The following is an 18,805-nucleotide window of genomic DNA, read 5'->3' as shown; positions in this document are numbered from 1 at the left end:
TACTCTAAGATGGATATTATTATTATCATACTATAGTTAAAGAAATTAAGTTCAAATGCTAACTGCCCTTCAGCACCATAGGAAAGGTAATAATTTAAAAATAAACAACAACAACAAAAAATGCTAACTGCCTTGCCGAAGATCACATAGATAGTTTGTGGAAAAGTTATTATTTAAGCTTATTTAAGTGTTTAAGTGTTTTTCAATAGATCAGGCTGATATGTGAACAAATGCATTTAAATTTTTTAAAAATCAATATACTCTAAAACAAAGCTTTCAGAAGAAAACCTACATAAAGTAATATCACGATATTGACGCAAACAGAATTCTTAAACAGTACTCAAAAAGTAGGAACTGTGAAGCAAATCAATAAAGTAGACTGCATTAAAGAATTTCGGTTCATCCAAAGACACCATTAAGAAAGTGAAAATATAAACCACATTGACAGAAGATTTTTCCAATACATACATTCAAAGGACTCAATATAAATCTCTAAGAAAATCTACAAATCAGTACAAAAAAGGCAGAAAACGCAGCTGAAAATTTGGCAATCTGCTGGCACCTTTATCTTGACTTTTCCAGCCACCAGAACTGTAAGATATATACGTGTGTTGTTTTAACATACAATGCTCAGACAGAGGCAGTGGCTCATACCAGTAATCCCAGCACTTTGGGAGGCCGAGGCGGGTGGATCACTTGAGGTCAGGAGTTCAAGACCAGCCTAGCCAACATGGTGAAACCCCATCTTTACTAAAACTACAAAAATTAGCTGGGTGTGGCAGTGGGCGCCTATAATCCCAGCTACTCAGGAGCCTGAGGCAGGAGATTTGCTTGAACCCGAAAGGTGGAGGTTAGAGTGAGCCCAGATCATGCCACTGCATCTCAGCCTGGGCAACATAATGAAACTCTGTCTCAAAAAAAAAAAAAAACAACAATGACACAGTGCTCTTAGGCCTATGTTTGGTACTGGTACAATAGCACTTCCCCTCTGCCTTAGTAAGCTCAGGCTGCTGTAACAAAATAGCATAGACCAGATAGCTTAAACAATACATATTTGTATCTTATGGTTCTGGTGGCTGGGAAAGTCTAGATAAAAGTGCTGGTCATAATCAGGCCTCTCACAAAAGACTACATACAAATACCCAATAAACTTATGACTAGGTGCTTAACCTCACAGTCATCATGAAAATTCAAATGCAAACCACAGTGACAGATACACTAACTAGAATGGCTAAAATTTAAATGACTGGCCTGGTGCAGTGGCTCACATCTGTAATCTCAGCATTTTGGGTGGCCAAGGCGGGTGGATCAGAAGTCAGGAGATCAAGACCAGCTTGGCCAACACGGCAAAACCCCGTCTCTACTAAAAATACAAAAGATTAACCAGGCTTGGTGGCACGCGCCTGTAGTCCCAGCTACTCAGGAGGCTGAGGCAGGAGAATCGCTTGAACCTGGAAAGTGGAGGTTGCAGTGAGCCGAGATCGTGCCACTGCACTCCAGCCTAGGTAACAGAGCGAGACTCCATCTTGGGGAAAAAAAAAAATTTAAATGACTGACAGTATCAAATGTTGGTAAAGATGTGGAATAACTAGAAATCTCACACCCTGCTGAGAGGAGTAAAACTTGGTACAACCACTTTGTAAAACTGTTTGGCAGTATCTATTAAAGCTCAATATGCACATACCATGTGACCCAGTAATTTTTAACATATATAACCAACAGAAATATGTATATAACCAACAGAAATATGTTCACATGGGCACCAAAAGACACATATGGGAATATTCATAGTAGTACTTTTCATAGCAGACCCAAACTGGAAATGTCTGCCAAAATGAAAAAACTAAATTAGTATATTCCCTTAATGGAATACTATATAGGAATGAGAAAGAATGAACTACAACTACCACACAATGGGTCTCACAAACATAAATTTGGGCAAAATAAATGAGAGCAAAAGATCATATACTAAATGATTCCATTTATACAAAATTCAAAAATGAACAAAATGAATCTACAGTGTAAAACATTGGGTCATTAGTTATTCTTAGTAGAGGTTGGAGGGTTGTCAGGAACTAGAAAGGGGCTTCTGGGTTGCTAGTAACCTCCTGTTACTTGATTTGGATGCTAGTTACACAGTGTATTCACTTTATAAATGCTTTACACTTTTCTGTGTACTTAAAATTTCGCCTACAAATTCAATGTTCTTTGGGCATACACACACTCACAAATCATTATGTAGGATTCTGAAACCGATGTTTAGCAGTTCATCTCCTAAGAATTCTGACTAAATATGCCCATTTGTGCAATGTTCTTACTTTCATATGCTGCCAATCTTGCTTTTTCCCAATGTTGCCATTAGTTATAAATTTTTCATGTTAGAGTTAAGCTTCTCTGTATTGCTTTTCTTTCAAACCTTTTAAAACTTTCTTATGAATTCAGAGAAAACAGCAACAAATTTTAGAAAATAAAAACAGAATGAATTAAGCTAAATCCTAACCTGGCAAGCTGAGTTACAGTGTGGAATCCCCTAAGGACTCAGGATTTGATGGCAATGTAGACAGGTGAAGGCAATACTAAGACAGACCCCCAGATCCCCTTCCTCAGACAATGCAGATGGGCAGTTGCCATTCCCCAACCCCAACAGAAGACTAGAGATTTATTCTCTGGAGAGGGCAACAAGAGGTTCAATGGACAGGGGAACACCAGGCAGAGTACAAGGCTGAGTATTACACTGAAAACAGAATTCAAATAAGCATTTACATTCTCAGTGCTAAGACCCCCAGTGTTCTTCCCAGCACTTCATGGGATGTAATGGCACCCTTTTAAAAGAAATTAGTCCAGGCACAGTGGCTCATGCCTGTTATCCCGACACTTTAGGAGGCCAAGGCAAGCAGACTGTTGGAGCCCAGGAGTTCAAGACCAGCCTGGGCAACATGGTGAAACTCTGTCTCTACAAAAAATACAAAAATCAGCCAGGTATGGTAGCATGCACCTGTGGTCCCACCTACTTGGGAGGATGAGGCAGGAGGATCACTGGAGCCCAGGAGGTCACGGCTGCAGTGAGCCCTGATTGTGCGCCACTGTACTCCATTCTGGGCAACAGGCTAAGACCATGCCTCAAAAAAATAAATAAAAGAGATTAAATGGCAAAGTAAATGGAGGTAGGTAAATGGGGGAGTGATTGTTCTTCATTCAATCTCTTGAAGCTTAATAAAATGGACCTAGTCTCCAAAGTCTAAAAAGATAAAATAAATGAAAGGAAATACATTGTAATAGGAATAAATAACCACTACTCAAGAGGTACTGAGGAAGGACTTTTAAAGAAGGAGATAAGGAAGTGAGGCCAAAATGAACTACAACAGCATCTTATTACTCTACTGACTGATGAACTTTTAAGTATCCATTTTTAAAAATCTTGTATATAAGCTCATTATCCCCTCAATGTTTTTACATTACCACTACTTCATTTGTTTGCATTTTTAATGGACTTTTAATCCTTTTAAGATAATTTTCCCACAAATATACCACCACAAATATCTGATTTTCAGTGTATTAGGATATCTGACAGACTAGTACATATGGTACTTCCAATCTACCCTATTCTTTCATTCACTCTTTCTCTCACTCATTCATTCCTTCACTCACTCACTGACTTAGGCATTTTCATATGGGTCAGTAAAAGTTTAATAACTTTCAAAATATACATTTTAGGTAAGCATTAACTTTACAATGTGAGAGTTTCTGCTTTTATCTAGAGAGGCAAAACAGCATAGAAAACATGGGTTGTGGGATCAAAGAAACCTATATGGGAATCCTGGCTACACTATCTATTAGCTCTCTGATTTTAGCAGGTTATTTCACAATTCTGATCCTCAAGGCCTTCATCAATATAATGAACATACCTCTCAGGATTAGTACTAGGTTTAAATGAGCTAATATATGCTAAGCACTTAGCACAATTCTAGCACATGGTAAAAGATAAATAAGCAGCACCTTTATTGTTTCTCAAATGTATTAGTAACCTGTTTCGTATACTTAAGATTTTAAATTTACATTCATCACCTCACTAGAGTTACTCCAAAACCAACACACTCCTACCATCTTTTCTGTTGTAGTCTTCTGCACATGGGCTTTTCAACCCTAAAAAGTGATCTGTAGGTGAACAGAAAACAAACAAACAAAAAGGATAACTGGCCAGGCACAGTGACTCATACCTGTAGTTCCAACACTTTAGGAGGCTGAAGCAGGAGGACTGCTTGAGCCCAGGAGTTCAAGACCAACCTGGGCAACAAAGTGAGACCCTGTCTCCACAAAAAATTTAAAAATTAACCAGGTGTGGTAGTGCATACCTGTAGTCCCAGCTACTCGGGAGGCTGAGGTGGGAGGATGGATTGTGCCACAGTGGTTGAGGTCGCAGTGAGCCATGATCACACCACTGCATTTCAGCCTGGGTGACAGAGCAAAACCCTATCTCAAAAAGAAAAAAAAAAGGATAACTACTGTTCTACATAACTTAGAATTCTGCTATTCAAATGGCTAATGCTGAACCCTAATTAACAAAAGTTAGGTTTTGGTTGTATGAGAGAAGAATACACACACAGCAAGAGTGGGGTTAATTCAGCACATGTTCATTGACCTTCCAAGTTGCTGGGGCAGGGAGGTAGAGGGATATGTTAAATTATTCCGTAAATATATCCTGCACATCAACTTTTGTGGTAGGCAGAGTGCTGGGTTTGACAAATTATCTCCTCTCAAAAACCTAAAATAAAGTGGGGCATGGTGGCTCATGCCTTTAATCCCAGCACTTTGGAAGGCCGAGGCGGGCAGATCACTCGAGGCCAGGAGTTGAAGACCAGCCTACCAACATGATGAAACCCCATCTCTATCAAAAATACAAAAATTAGCCGGTGTGGTGGTACATGCCTGTAACTGCAGCTACACGGGAGGCTGAGGCACGAGAATCACTTGAATCCAGGAGCCAGAGGCTACAGTGAACAGAGATCACAGCACTGCACTCCAGCCTGGGTGACGGAATGAGACTCTTTCTCAAAAAACAAAACAAAACAAAAAACCTAAAATACAGCTGAAAATGAAAAAACAATCATAGTGCGGGGAGAGAAAGCTATGGGAGACTAGAGAAGGGAAAAATGGTTGGGAACACTGGTGGGGGGGTGAGGATCATTTCCCAATCACCTTATATGACCATGACTCAGAACAGTGCTTGGCATCATGTGTAATATATATTGTTAGAACCGAACATCTAGTTCAGGCAACAATTCATAAAACGTTGCAGGGAATAAACTGTGGGAAAGGGTCTTTGACAAAGAATAAATTTCAGTTGACCAAAGACTGAATTGGGAGGTGTACTTCTAAGGCAGGGGCAATAAGATGAGGCCCAATAACAAAATCCAAAAAGAACATGGTCTGAGCAATTGTACGCCAGGCATTTCAGGGGCCACATAAATCATGTATAGGAGATTTGTGAAAACCTAGGCTGGGAAACCAGATGGTGGTCATATTGAGAACACTCCTACCTCTGTGCAAGGAAAGAAGAGCAATTGCTGCTGTTTATGCAAGAAAGTTAGAGCATCAGAGTTTGTAAAGATGAAACTGATGACACTGCAAAGCAGGAGCCAATAAGACTACAAAACCAAAGCAACCTGATAATTACAATTATTAATATAAATTTAAAGGAGCTGGGCAGAAATGCAGGAACCAGATGGAAAACCACAGAGTTAAAACCAGTGAGTCAGCCAGGCGCAGTGGCTCATGCCTGTAATCTCAGCACTTTGGGAGGCTGAGGTGGGCGGATCACCTGAGGTCAGGAGTTCGAGACCAGCCTGGCCAACGTGGTGAAACCCCATCTCTACTGAAAATACAAAATGAGCCAGGCGTGGTGGTGGGTGCCTGTAATTCCAGCTACTTGGGAGGCTGAGGCAGGAGAATTGCTTGAACCTGGGAGGCAGAGGTTGCAGTGAGCCGAGATCGCACCATTGCACTCCAGCCTGGGCAAAAAAAGTGAAACTCCGTCTCAAAAAAAAAAACAAAAAACAGTGAGTCCAGAACAAAATAATTTGGTTCTCCAAAATTTGGGGAAAACACTACTGAGGGGTAGTGTGAAGAAGAGGGGCCCAGAGGGTCCCTGAGGCAGCCGTCTCTGAATCTGACTCCCCACTGGAGGCCTTGAGGAGACTGATAAAAACAGAGACTCTCCGCCCTGCAAACCTCCAGAGATCCTGATTCAACAGACTCAGTACTAGAGGAGAGGTGTGGGTGTTCCATTAAGGACACTCTGAGGAAAAGGAGAACAGACGAAGGGAAGTCTGAAAATAGACTCCTCTGATAAATCCCTACCCTGGGGAGCTGGAGGCTCTCTGGGAACATAAGCACACATGAGGAGTTGGCTTCTGCAAGAAACAGAAAGGCAGAGATGGAGAAAGGAGATGCTGAGGGGCTTCAGACTGAACAGTCTCACTCTTGTTGAGAGGTGGTAAGGTCCTCTCTGAGAGAAGACCTCACTGTATGGAGCAGAGCCTGTCAGAAGTGGGAGGGTGACATCACTGAGGTAAAGGAAAGGACTGCCCAGGAGCTGTAACATCAGAGGCCTGGCAGCAGTGGAGAGCACTTTTGTGACTTTCTCCAGGCATTGGGAAGATGGCAGGATTGAGATAAAGCGATTCTGAGGTAAAAAGGGGACCCCGGGACCCAGGCTGGGGAGAGAAGAAAGAGAAGTCAGGTCAAGGTCATGGAGGTAGGAGGAGGTCAGAAGTATAGAGGCCTATGGAAATCACAGACCAGGCCACTGAGAGTTGGGAAGCTGAGTTCAAAACTTAACATATTTGTTTGGTAGGAGAAGGGGCAAAAAGTCAATGTATCACTACACACCCACCACAAATGCTAAAAAGAAAAATAGTGACTATACCAATTGCTGGCAAGGATATGGAGAAACTGGATCACTCATACAATAATGGTTGGAATTTAAAATGGTATATCCCCTCTGGAAAATAGTTTGGCAGTGCTTTCAAAATTGAAAATGGACTTACCATACAATCCAGCAATCGCACTATTGGGCATTTATCCCAAAGAAATGAAGACTTACTTTCACACAGGAACTTGTACACAGATGTTCACAGCAGCTCTATTCCTAGTAGCTAAGAATTGGAAACCACCCAAATGTCTTTCAATGGATAAATATTTTAACAAATTATGCTATATCCATTTTAGGGAATACTACTCAGCAGTAAAAAGGAATGGACTGTTGGTGCATGTTGTACATCCAACGACTTGGATGCAACTCAGGGAAATTATGCTGAGTAAAAAAAAGGCAATCTTGGGGATACCTTCATGGTTTCATTTCTGGAAAAAATCATGAAATAACATAATTATAAAGATGGAGAACAGACTAAATTTCCAAGGGTTAAGGACCGGGAAATGGAGGTGGCCATAAAGGGGTAATGCAAGAGAGTGTGTGGTGATATTTGAGCATCTTGATCACCGTGGTCATTAGTTAAGGTTACATGTATTCACATAGTACATAGCATAGAGCTACAAACATAAACACACACACATAAACTAGTGCATGTGTGACTGGTGAAACCTTAAGTTCTATGGATTGTGCAAATGTCAATGTCTTGGCTTTTATATTGTACTATGGTGGTATAAGATGTGAACATTCAGGGAGGCTAGAGGATGAAGGATGCATAGGATATCATTGTACATTTCTTTGGAATCTCTCGGACAAATCTATGATTATTTCAAAATAAAAAGTTTTCTTAAGTCAACAAGGCAAAAAACCAAGTAATCTCACAAATATTCACTGAATGACTCATGTATGCCAGGTTCCATATCAAACACTGGAGGTATAATTGTGACAAGACACAATCTCTGACCTCAAGGAGTTCATAATTTGGATAGGGACTCTGATATTGTTCTTCTTTTCAATCCCTTTTTAACTAGAGAACACAGTTCATGCATGAGTAAATAGCTCATTCCCTACAAACTGCAGGTGACTTCCTTATACTTTCCTTAGGAACACCAGGAGACACATAAGAGGAAAGGATTTTGCACCAATAGTGCAGCAGATAAAGTCCATCCCAGTTATGTACACCTGACATCTGTTGTTTTAACCCACCCACCATCCATCCCTCCTCCTTCTGGTGACAGGTTAATATCTTGATTTTTCCTCTGAAAAGAGCCTAACCCCAGCCTCAACTACCTTTATCCAATGAAAGTCTGGCCCTAATCCCCTCCCCTAAACCCAGAGGAGGAAAACAAGACTGGCAATCAGTATATCAGTCTCTTAGCTTTAAGGGGGAAGGGCAGAGCTTTAAAAGTTTTCACATGAACTAAATAGAGCCTTTTATTTAAAAGTCTGAAGTACTGAAATTGTTTTTGCATCTCAACAAACACTGCAGATAATGCATTCTACTGCTACGGGAATTCTAACAGCCTGACAAAACTTTTTTTTTCCAAACTTGAAAAAAATTTTTTCTAAAATGCTGTAAAAAAGGAATGGTGCCAGGTGTGAAGGCTCATGCCTGTAATCCCAGCACTTTGCAGGGCCAACAAAGGAGGATCACTTGAGCCCTGGAGTTCACTTGAGCCTGGGCAAAAGTGAGACTTTGTCTCTACAAAAAAATGAAAAAATTAGCCAGGCATGGTGGCATGCACCTGTGGTCCCAGCTTCACGGGTGGCTGAGCAGAAGGACAGCTTGAGCCCAGAAGGTCAAGGTTGCAGTGAGCCATGTTCGTGCCACTGCACTCCAGCCCTGGTGACTGGGCCAGACTCTGTGTCAAAATAAATAAATGAGTAAAATAAAAATTTTAAACAGGGCTGGGCACGGTGGCTAACGCCCGTGGTCCCAGAACTTTGGGAGGCCGAGGTGGGTGGATCATGAGGTCAGGAGATCGAGACCATCCTGGCTAACACAGTGAAACCCCATTTCTACTAAAAATACAAAAAATTAGCCAGGCGTGGTGGCTGGCGCCTGTAGTCCCAGCTACTCAGGAGGCTGAGGCAGGAGAATGGTGTGAACGCAGGAGGTGGAGCTTGCAGTGAGCCAAGATTGTGCCACTGCACTCCAGTCTGGGTGACAGAGCGAGACTCCATCTCAAAACAAAACAAAAAAAAAACTAAAAGGAATGGAAAAAAGAAATGAAGTACTTAGGGTACAACATGCATCAACTTTATAACCACTACGCTAAGTGAAGGCAGCCAGACCACATACTATAATTCCATTTACAGGAAATGTCCAGAATAGGCAAATCCGCAGGGACAAATAGATTAGTGGTTGCCAGGGGCTAGGGGGAGGAGGAAAAGGGGAGCGACTATTAATGGTTTCCATGAAAGCGTTATGGAATTAGATAGTAGTGATGACTGTACAACCTTATGAATATACTAAAAACCACTGAGTTGTACACTTTGAAAAGGTGAATTTTATGGTATGTGAATTATATCTCAATTTTAAAAAAGGAAAAAGTCCACTGAGATTTCATTTAAAATTTGAAACTTGAGCCGGGCACAGTGGCTAAGGCTTGTAATCCCGTCACTTTGGGAGGCCAAGGTGGGCACATCACTTGAGGTCAGGAGTTCGAGACCAGCCTGGCCAACATGGTGAAAGCCCGTCTCTACTAAAAATACAAAAATTAGCCAGTGTAATGGCGAGCACCCACCTACCCAGAAGGCTGAGGCACAAGAACTGCTTGAACCCAGGAGGCAGAGGTTGCAGTGAGCCAAGATTACACCACTGCACTCCAGCCTGGGTGATAGAGCATGACCCTGTCTAAAAAATAAAATAAAATTTGAAACGTGAAACTTAATTTTTTTTAGCCATGTAATTTTCCCTTGAGAGGAAATCTACCTAATATGAAAAAACATCTCCACAGAACTCTAACACTCACTCAGAAAAGCCCAGTCTGAAAATCTCTCTAATAAAACCCACTTCTCCCATGTTTACAAATGAAAAAAATTAGACCAAAAAATGAAAAGACTGCCTTAAAGTGAGTCAGTGACTGGACTGTAAGAAGGAAAATTTCTGACCTCCTAACTTCCAGGCCAATGGATTTCTTCATTTCACCTAGTTGCCTCATTACTTTAAAAATCAAAATAACCCTCCTATCCATGGAAATAAGCAAGAAAGGCTGAAAGAGAGAGAGAAGAAGGAATGGAGGGAGGAGTCCTTTTGCACCTTGTCCACTACATCATTTGTTTACCCAGGGATATGAATTATCCTCCTAACACGTAAACATATTGTCCTGGTAAAAGTAGAGTTTGAATGGATCAAGTGTCAGTTTCTAAATCTTCTTTTAATAACTGAAGGCCCAGTTATTATTACAAAATATAACATGGCAGTATTTTACAGACACTAAAAATGTGGAGAGTGTTTGGGCCGTCATATTAAGTGAAAAAAAAATATGAATAATCTGAACTCAGTACATTATATAGATACATAAAGATACACACAGAAAAAGAATCCACTCAATTTAACAGCAATTATCTCTAAGAGACGGGACAATGAATGTTTTCACAGGCTTTCTCTGTGCTTTTCTGAATTTTCATAATTTCCTTTTAAGAGTATATATACATTTTAAATTATGTTACACTGAGTACCTACTATGTGTTAGATATTATGCTAGGTGCCTTTAATATATTATTTCTAATCTCGCAACAACCTTATTAGGTTCTAATCTCACAACAACCTTATTAGGTATTACTATTTTCACTTTGAAAGTGAGGAAACTGAGGCTCAGAGAAGTTAAGGAACCTGTCTACCTTGCTAAGTTTAAAAGAAGCGATCCAAGGGTAGCTTTCTTTTATCTTCCCTGACTCCTTGTCTTCTCTTCTTTTCTCTATGTATTAAGGACATATGCCGTGCCCAAATTTCATCTAATAATTAAAAATACGGGAAGTGACACAAAAGGGAAAACACAGGATGCTCTGGAAACTTGTTATAGGCAGCGAGTGGGAAGGAGACCTAGAGTCAGAGGAAGCTACTACTGGAAAGAGGAGCAGAACTGAGCCAGGCAAATAGGAGAGAAAATGTATTTCAGGCAGAAGAAACAGCACTCTGGAAACCCAACATCTAGCCTTTGAGAATGTAAAATGAAGCCAGGATGACACTACCAATTCCAAGCTGTGTGTGTGTGCATGCATGTGCATGTATGTGTATATATATTAGATGTATATTTTAACATTCTGACTTAACATTAATATTAACATATTAATATTTATTTATTGAAATATTTAACGTGTATTTTAATATTAAATTCTGGATTTCCAAACCAGATCAGAAATAGTCTTCACTCTGTTTTCAGTAGGTCAGATCCCACAGGGCAAGAGGGGGAGGAGACAGCTCCCACTGTTTCTTGGCCTTACCTCCACCCCCATCCCAATTAAGGCACGTCCCCTTCCCTGCAGCTACCTCTCTAAAGAGCCCTCTCCTTTTAACACTGGTTCCCAGATTTTCCCATTTATCTCACAGCAGCAGGAGTCACAGCTGGGTTCAATCTCTGCACGCCACCATCACCGCCCCTCCCCCAAAGTTGTAGAAATGTTATTCTAAATTTAAACCACACAGCACCAAACTAAAAATGGCTTTAAAAGAGGATCAAACATACCTTGTGCTGGGCTCTTGTTAGATTTCACAGGCACGAATTTCCCTTTTTCTCAGCATATGCAGTCAAATGATTCTTAGGTGATGAAACAAGTATCTCCAGGTTTGCAGGAAATAAAAGTGTCTGTTTTTAAACTGCCATGGGGAAGGGGATGGAGGAGGGCAGAAAGAGTAGGGAGTGAAGTGCTGACTCGCAGGATACATCTGGGATTCTGAGAATGTCGCCCAGCTCCAATGTTAGCGCATGCCAGATTCTTCCCCACCCCTTTCCTGATCAATGAGTTAGGAAAGTCAGATGAACTAGGAGTCAGAAGGCCTGAGTACAAGTCCTGGTTATGAGACATTCCCCCAGTCCCCAGGTAATTTTTCCTTCCCAAGCTTCAATTCCCTCGTCCATAACATGAAGAGGCTGAACTTGATCAGAGGTTCTCAAGCTTTCTTTCTCTTTGGCACTTTCTTTGTTACTCTATCAGTAAAAAGTTCATTTTCTTTATTAAAGTATAACAGACATACTGAAACGTGAACAAACCATGTGCTGAGCTCCAGGAATTTTCACAAACTGGTTTAAAAACCAGCAGCCAGATTAAGTAACAGACTATTTCTGGCATCCCAAAGCCCTCTTACTTAGTACATTTTCAAGTACTAGAGTCAGAGTTGGGGAACATATCTGAAAAGACTGAAAAGTAAGTGTCAGTTTGTTTGTCTGATTTTAAAAGAAAATTTGGAGAAATGTGAAAAACATTTCCACAATTCCACCAATCACTCTGTTGCCTTTCAGAACTATGTCACATGAATTGACCTATTTAATTTCCCTGATCATTTACTAGAATTGCCATAATATTGATTTGAAAAAGGAGACCTGAGCACATAAGTGATCAAAAACATATGAGATGAATGAGTAAATGAACGGAGCTTGCATTTGAGAGGCTGAACACATTGGCAGTGACATGAAGCACATGAGAATGACAGCACTAAACGCAGCGCGCAACCTGGGAAAGAGGCTGAAAAAATACCTACTCAGCCACGGTAAAGGGTTTAGACTGTAACCAAGTACCCACCTTTTTCTAAGAGAAAGAATTACTTTTTTAAAAAATACTTTTTTCTTCTTTTCTGTTTCCTCCTTTTCCCTTGTTCCCCACTTCCTACTTAGCTCTTTAGAAATGCAATTATAACATTTACCTTTCCTTCACCAGACACTCCCTGTAGGGCAAGCTTATCTGTGTGCTTACTTGGAAGCTCTTGCTTACTTAGAAGCTCCAGAGCCAGACGTCTCTTCGACCAGGAGACTGCCTCGAGAGATAACAAATTATAACCTAAAGTATGCCCATGATGAAACTCACTCCCACTTGGAGAGTATCTCAAGACTCTGGCCACCTTACCACCTAGTTCTGCCCGCGAGGGCACCAGCTCAACCACCTGGTAGATAAAGCACCAAAGCAAGTCATTGAGACCCCCACTGGCTCACCCCCTCCCCTGCATGCCATTCATGTCAAGTCCCCCTTTGAAAACCCTTGCTTTTTTGCCCCAAAAGTGAAGCAGTACCCTTAAAGGCAGAAGCCTGTACTTCTCCCCCTCAACAAAGCTTTGGAATAAAAGTTACAAGATCAAGTTTTCTAAAACTTTTTGAAACTCAATCATTCAAATTATTTTGTACATTTTAGGATCATGTTGAATTGGGAGGTGAGAGTCGACAATTACAAATCATAAAATCACAAAAGTATTAAAACATTTGAATGGAGAACCAGACTCAGAAAAATTATAGTCTTTTAGTACACATATTCTCTGGAACAAAGCAACATATATTTGTAAGAATTTCAGAGTACATATGAAAAAAGGTACTGACAAGCTTTTAATAAGGCAAGAAAGAGTAACTAAAAATCAACATATATCCTTTATTAAATTTACATGTTTAAAATGACATTGTTACCTTGGTTTTTGGCCTGTGATTTTTATTTTTTAACATAATCCACTTAAAACAAACAAAAAAAAACAGACGTGTTTAACTTCCAGCTTTAATAGAGTAGGTTGTAGCAGACTGGTTCTGATGAGGGAAATTAGAAAAGCCAGATAAAATTTTTAAACATCTGTGTGAAGTAATAGGAAAGCTACTAATCAGCCACGATTTGAGGAACCAGATCTTGGAGAGAGGGGAGGCTCACTGAGGTGAGCCTGACTTTCTGCAAGCCCATTTTCCTATTTAGGGTATATGCCAATTCTTAGCATGGGGTAAGAAGCTGAAAAGCCAGGCAAGGGGCAGCTGTTAAGACACAGAGAAGCCTGCAGAATTTTAGACAGTTTCAAGGGCTGCAGAGACAAAAAGTGGAGTTTAGGACTGAAAAGGCATATCCTAGAGTAACTCACAGCCTGACAGGAGTTTTCTCCTTCAGATATTCCTGACTCAGCTGCCCAGAGCAGAGGCTAAGAAGCCAACGAGAAAGCAAATGAAAAGCACAATGAACATTTTGCTGAGTAGAGTTTTCAGCAAGTTCACAGTATTAGAGAGACAAAAATTAGAGTTTAGGGTCTGTCAAGGGGAAGGGGTGGTGAGAAACATCTCAGACTCTCAGTCAGTTTCCCTAGGGGCCTGGGATTAGGAGAACCAGAAGTAGACTAAACCTTAAAAGTCTGCAAAACAGCCTTAATTAGACTGAGTGCCTGATTGAAGTGATCTCTGTTCTACTTCTGACAAAGAGTAGGAAAAATACTCTCAACAGGTAGATGACATCATCCAGAGCATCTTCATACACAATACTGGACATATAATAAAAAATTGCCAGGCATATGAAGAAAGACAACCAAGAAGAAAAACAGAAGAGATAAAAAGACTCACAAGTGGCCCACACATTGAAGTTACTGAGCAAAGTTTTTTAAGATGACTGTGATGTATGTATTTGAGAAAACAGATGACAAGGTGAAGAATCTCTTTTGGTAAAGAATCTAATAGAGGCTGGGCGCGGTGGCCCACGCCTATAATCCCAGCACTTTGGGAGGTCAAGGTGAGCGGATCACTTCAGGCCAGGAGTTCAAGACCAGCCTGGCCAACATGGCGAAACCCCATCTCTACTAAAAATACAAAAATTAGCCAGGCATAGTGGTACATGCCTGTAATCCCAGCTACTCAGGAGGCTGAAGATCGCTTGAACCCAGGAGGTGAAAGCTGCAGTGAGCCAGGATCGCACTGCAGCCTGGGCAACAGAGGGAGACTCTGTCTCAAAAAAAAAAAAAAAGAATCTAATAGTAACTCTAGAACTGAAAAATACAAAACAAAATTAAGAAATTAATGGTTCTGTAACAACAAGTTAAACATAGCAGAGAGAACCAGTAAGCTCTAAGATAGGCCAGCAAAAAAATAACAAAACTAAAAAAGAAAGAAAAGGGCTAAGTATACAGAAAATGAAGGAATATATGGGACAGGGTAAAAAGTTCTAACATAAAGGTACCCGGAGTCCCAGAAAGAGAGAAAGGAACAAAACACTGTTTGGAGAGATAATGGCAGGGAATTATGAGAATTACAAAAAACCTCAAGCCGCACAGATTCAAGAAGGACTGAAAACCCCAAGCAGGATAAATACAAAGAAAACCACACCTGGGACAAGTGTTGAAAACCAAATCAATTGAGAAAAGTCTTAACAACAGCCGAAGAAAAAAGATGCAACACCAAATAACAACATAAGACTGACTGACAGCCTGCTTTTCCAAGAAAGGATGAAAACCAGAAGACAATGGGATAACATGTTTTAAAGTGCTGGGGGAACACCTGCTTCCCCATAATTCTATACACCTAGTAAAATTGTCCTTCAAAAGCAAAGACAAAATCAACTCATTTCCAGATCATAAAAACTGAGAATATTTGTTTCTAGCATATATGCACTACAAGAAATCCTAAAGGGAGTTTTTTTCATGCAAAAGGAAAAGATCCCAGAGGGAATACACAAAAAATCCGAAAGAAATGAAAAGCAATGAATAGGGTAAATATGTGGGTAAATTTAAATGAATATTTATTCCATAAAACAATCATTACAGTGTCCTATGGGGCTTTAATAAATGTATAATTAAAACAAAATACAATAATAATACAAAAGGCAGAAAGTGAGGTGAGGGAGAAGATAGGGTAAATGGAGTTAAAGTCTTCTAAGCGCCTAACATTGTCTGAAACATGATTAAATATAAGAAGCACTGGGGTAATCACTTGCACACGCACGCAGGCACACACACGCACATACACACAAAGAAAAGTAAAATGAAAACAAATGTGTAAAGAATATGTTGGAAAGTTAAAAATAATGCTTGATTAATCCAAAAGAAAGTGGTATATAAAACAGATGGGACACAAATAAGAAACAAGGAGTAACATGGTAGCTATAGCACTTAACACATCAATAATTATATTAAATGGTTTAAATATTCAAACTAAAGACCATATTGTCAGACTAGATTTTTAAAAATTCACTTATGGCTGCTTCTAAAAGATACAGATTACATATATGGGTATAGAAAAAAGTAAAGTATAGGCTGGGCACAGTGGCTCATGCCTGTAATCCCAGCACTTTGGGAGGCCAAGGTGAGTGGATCACCTGAGGTCAGGAGTTCGAGACCAGCCTGGCCAACATGGCAAAACCCTGTCTCTACTAAAAATATAAAAATTAGCTGAGTGTGGTGGCACACGCCTGTAGTCCCAGCTACTTGGGAGGCTGAGGCAGGAGAATCGCTTGAACCCAGGAGGCGGAGGATGCAGTGAGCCAAGATCACACCACTGCACTCCAGCCTGGATGACAGAGCAAGACTCCATCTCAAAAAAATATATAATAATAATAAAAAAGAAAAAGTATACAAATGGGAAAAGATCTACCATGTATCTATTAACACAAAGAAAGTTGGTATAGCTACATTAATATCAAAAAGGTAGATTATAAGGGAGTATTGCTCAAGATAAGGAAAGACATTTCATAATGAAGATATAACAACTATAACTGTATATGGTATGCACCTAATAACAGAGCCACAAAGTAAAGCAAAAATTGGCAAATATAAAAGGAAAAATAGACAAATCTAAAATTATAATGGAAGAGTTTGCCCTCTCTTGGGAACCAACAGAATGAGAAAAAAATCAGTGAGGATACAGAAGATCCGCACCTCAGGATTAACAAATTGAAATAATTAACATATATAGAACATGGAACCAAACTATCTTAGTATGCACATTCTTTTAAGTACAACATATAAATATAAAAATTGATCATATGAAGGGTCACAAAGCAAGTCTAAAACATTTCCAAGTCATCCAAAATATATTCTCTGACTACAGTGAAAGCAAGCTAGAAATCAATGGCAAAAAGAGAACTAGAAACTCCCCAACTGTTTAAAAATTAAAAAGTATGTTGTTACACTACCTTATGGGTCAAAAAAATCAAAAAGAAAAGTATAAAATATTTTAAACTAAATAATGAAAATATAACAATACTTGCAGGTGTACACAAAAGCTATGCTTAAAGGATATTATATATATAGCTTAAGGGATTTTTTTTTTCATTGAGACAGAGTCTTGCTGTGTCATCCAGGCTGGAGTGCAGTGGTGTGATCTCGGCTCACTGCAACCTCCGCCTCCCGGGTTCAAGCAATTCTGCCTCAGCCTCCCGAGTAGCTGGGATCACAGGCACATACCACCGTGCTCAACTAATACTTGTAATTTTTTAGTAGAGACGGGGTTTCACCACATTGGCCAAGCTGGTCTCAAACTCCTGACCTTGTGATCCACCTGCCTCGGCCTCCAAAAGTGCTGGGATTACAGGCGTGAGCCACCACGCCTGGCCGGCTTAAAGGATATTAATGTGTAGCCTTAAATGAAAATATTTTTTAAAAGAAAAGCTGAAAATCAAAGATACCTTCTATCTCAAAAAACTAAAAAATAAGTCATAAGTTATAGCCAAAGAGTGTAAGAGGAAATAATAAAGACAAAAGCAAGAACTCATGAGATGAAAAATAAATGTATAATACAAAAAATTAACCAGTAAAAGATTACAGAGACTACTCAAATGTATAAGACCTTGACAATATTGCATCAAAATAAGTGAGAATTACCAGGACAATAAATAGAAATGCCACTATCAGAAATAAAAAACAAGGACAGGACCACACCACCTAAAAACATTTTAAAGATCATAAGAGAATATAAAGAAAACCTCATGTGGAAATTCAGATGAAATGGACAAATTCCTAAAAAAACAGAATTTATTAAAACACACACAAAAATAGGAAATCTGAATAACATACACTATTAAAACAACTGAAGCCAGGCAGAGTGGCTCACGCCTGTAAGCCCAACACTTTGAGAGGCCAAGGTGGCAGGATCACTTGAGGTCAGGAGTTCAAGATCAGCCTGGGCAACATAGTGAGACCTCATCTTTACAAAAGTAAAATAAATAAACAAACAAACAAAAAAACATATTTTAAAACCTTCCAAGAACAAAATTTCCAGGCCCAAATGGCTTCACCAGTGAATTCTTCCAGACATTTAAAGAATAATTCTAATCTCACAAAAACCTTCCAGGGAATAGAGAAATAGGAAATACTTCCTAATTCATTTTACAAGGTCAACATATCCTTGATGCCAAAATGTGGCAAGGGCACCACAACAAAAGGAAATCACAGGTTAATCTCTCTCATGGACAAAGATAATCCTCAACAAAATATTAGCAAGTCAAATACAGCAATATATAAAAAGATATCACAACGAAGTTGTTTGTTCCAAAAGTGCAAAGTTGGTTTAACATTCAAGAATCACTGAAATTCACCATATTAACAGAATAAAATAATCATATGATGCACATAATACAGAAAAATATTTGTTACAACTCAGAACTGATTCATGATAAAAACTTAGCACAGTAGGAATAGAAGGTAACTTCCTTAATCTAATTTTTAAGTGTCCATATAAATCCCACATCAAATGTTGTACTTAATGGTGAAAATGTGATAGCTTTTCCCCTAAGATCAGTAACAAGATAAGAATACTCACCATCACTGCTTCTATTCAACATTATAAGAGAGATCCTAGCTAGTGCAATGAGACAAAGGGGAAAAAGTATAAGGATCAGAAAGAAGAAAAAGCTGTCATTATTTACAGAAAAATAAACGGTCTACATAGTAAGGCCCCTAAAATCTAAAAACTATTGAAATTAATAAGTGAATTT

The 18,805-nt window shown here is 39.5% G+C and overlaps 1 protein-coding gene and 1 long non-coding RNA gene across 4 annotated transcripts in view, besides 1 other annotated feature; one reads left to right on the top strand and one right to left on the bottom strand.

Moving 5' to 3' along the window:
• Nucleotides 1–12,517, top strand: part of DNAJC6-AS1 (DNAJC6 antisense RNA 1) — a 31,160-nt gene extending 18,643 nt beyond the window's left edge. Inside the window, exon 3 of one of the 2 annotated variants that reach the window (XR_007066155.1) lies at nt 12,443–12,517. This is a non-coding gene — a long non-coding RNA (DNAJC6 antisense RNA 1). Of the gene's footprint in view, nt 1–10,863; nt 11,289–12,442 lie in introns of those variants that run through there. The other variant, XR_007066154.1, reaches the window with a different exon arrangement.
• DNAJC6 (DnaJ heat shock protein family (Hsp40) member C6) overlaps nt 1–18,805 on the bottom strand; it is a 151,123-nt gene that overhangs the window by 125,130 nt on the left and 7,188 nt on the right. The window lies entirely within an intron of this gene.
• Nucleotides 1,186–1,245: a silencer, noted in NCBI's record as "silent region_970". NCBI's record gives its function as "represses an Ori minimal core promoter by ATAC-STARR-seq in GM12878 lymphoblastoid cells {active_cell/tissue: GM12878}" and the evidence as "EXISTENCE:reporter gene assay evidence [ECO:0000049][PMID:35858748]".

Source organism: Homo sapiens, chromosome 1, assembly GCF_000001405.40.
Source record: "Homo sapiens chromosome 1, GRCh38.p14 Primary Assembly".
NCBI lineage: Eukaryota > Metazoa > Chordata > Mammalia > Primates > Hominidae > Homo > Homo sapiens.
The sequence above is the reverse complement of the archived record's forward strand: the minus strand, read 5'-3'. Positions and strand labels throughout refer to the sequence as shown.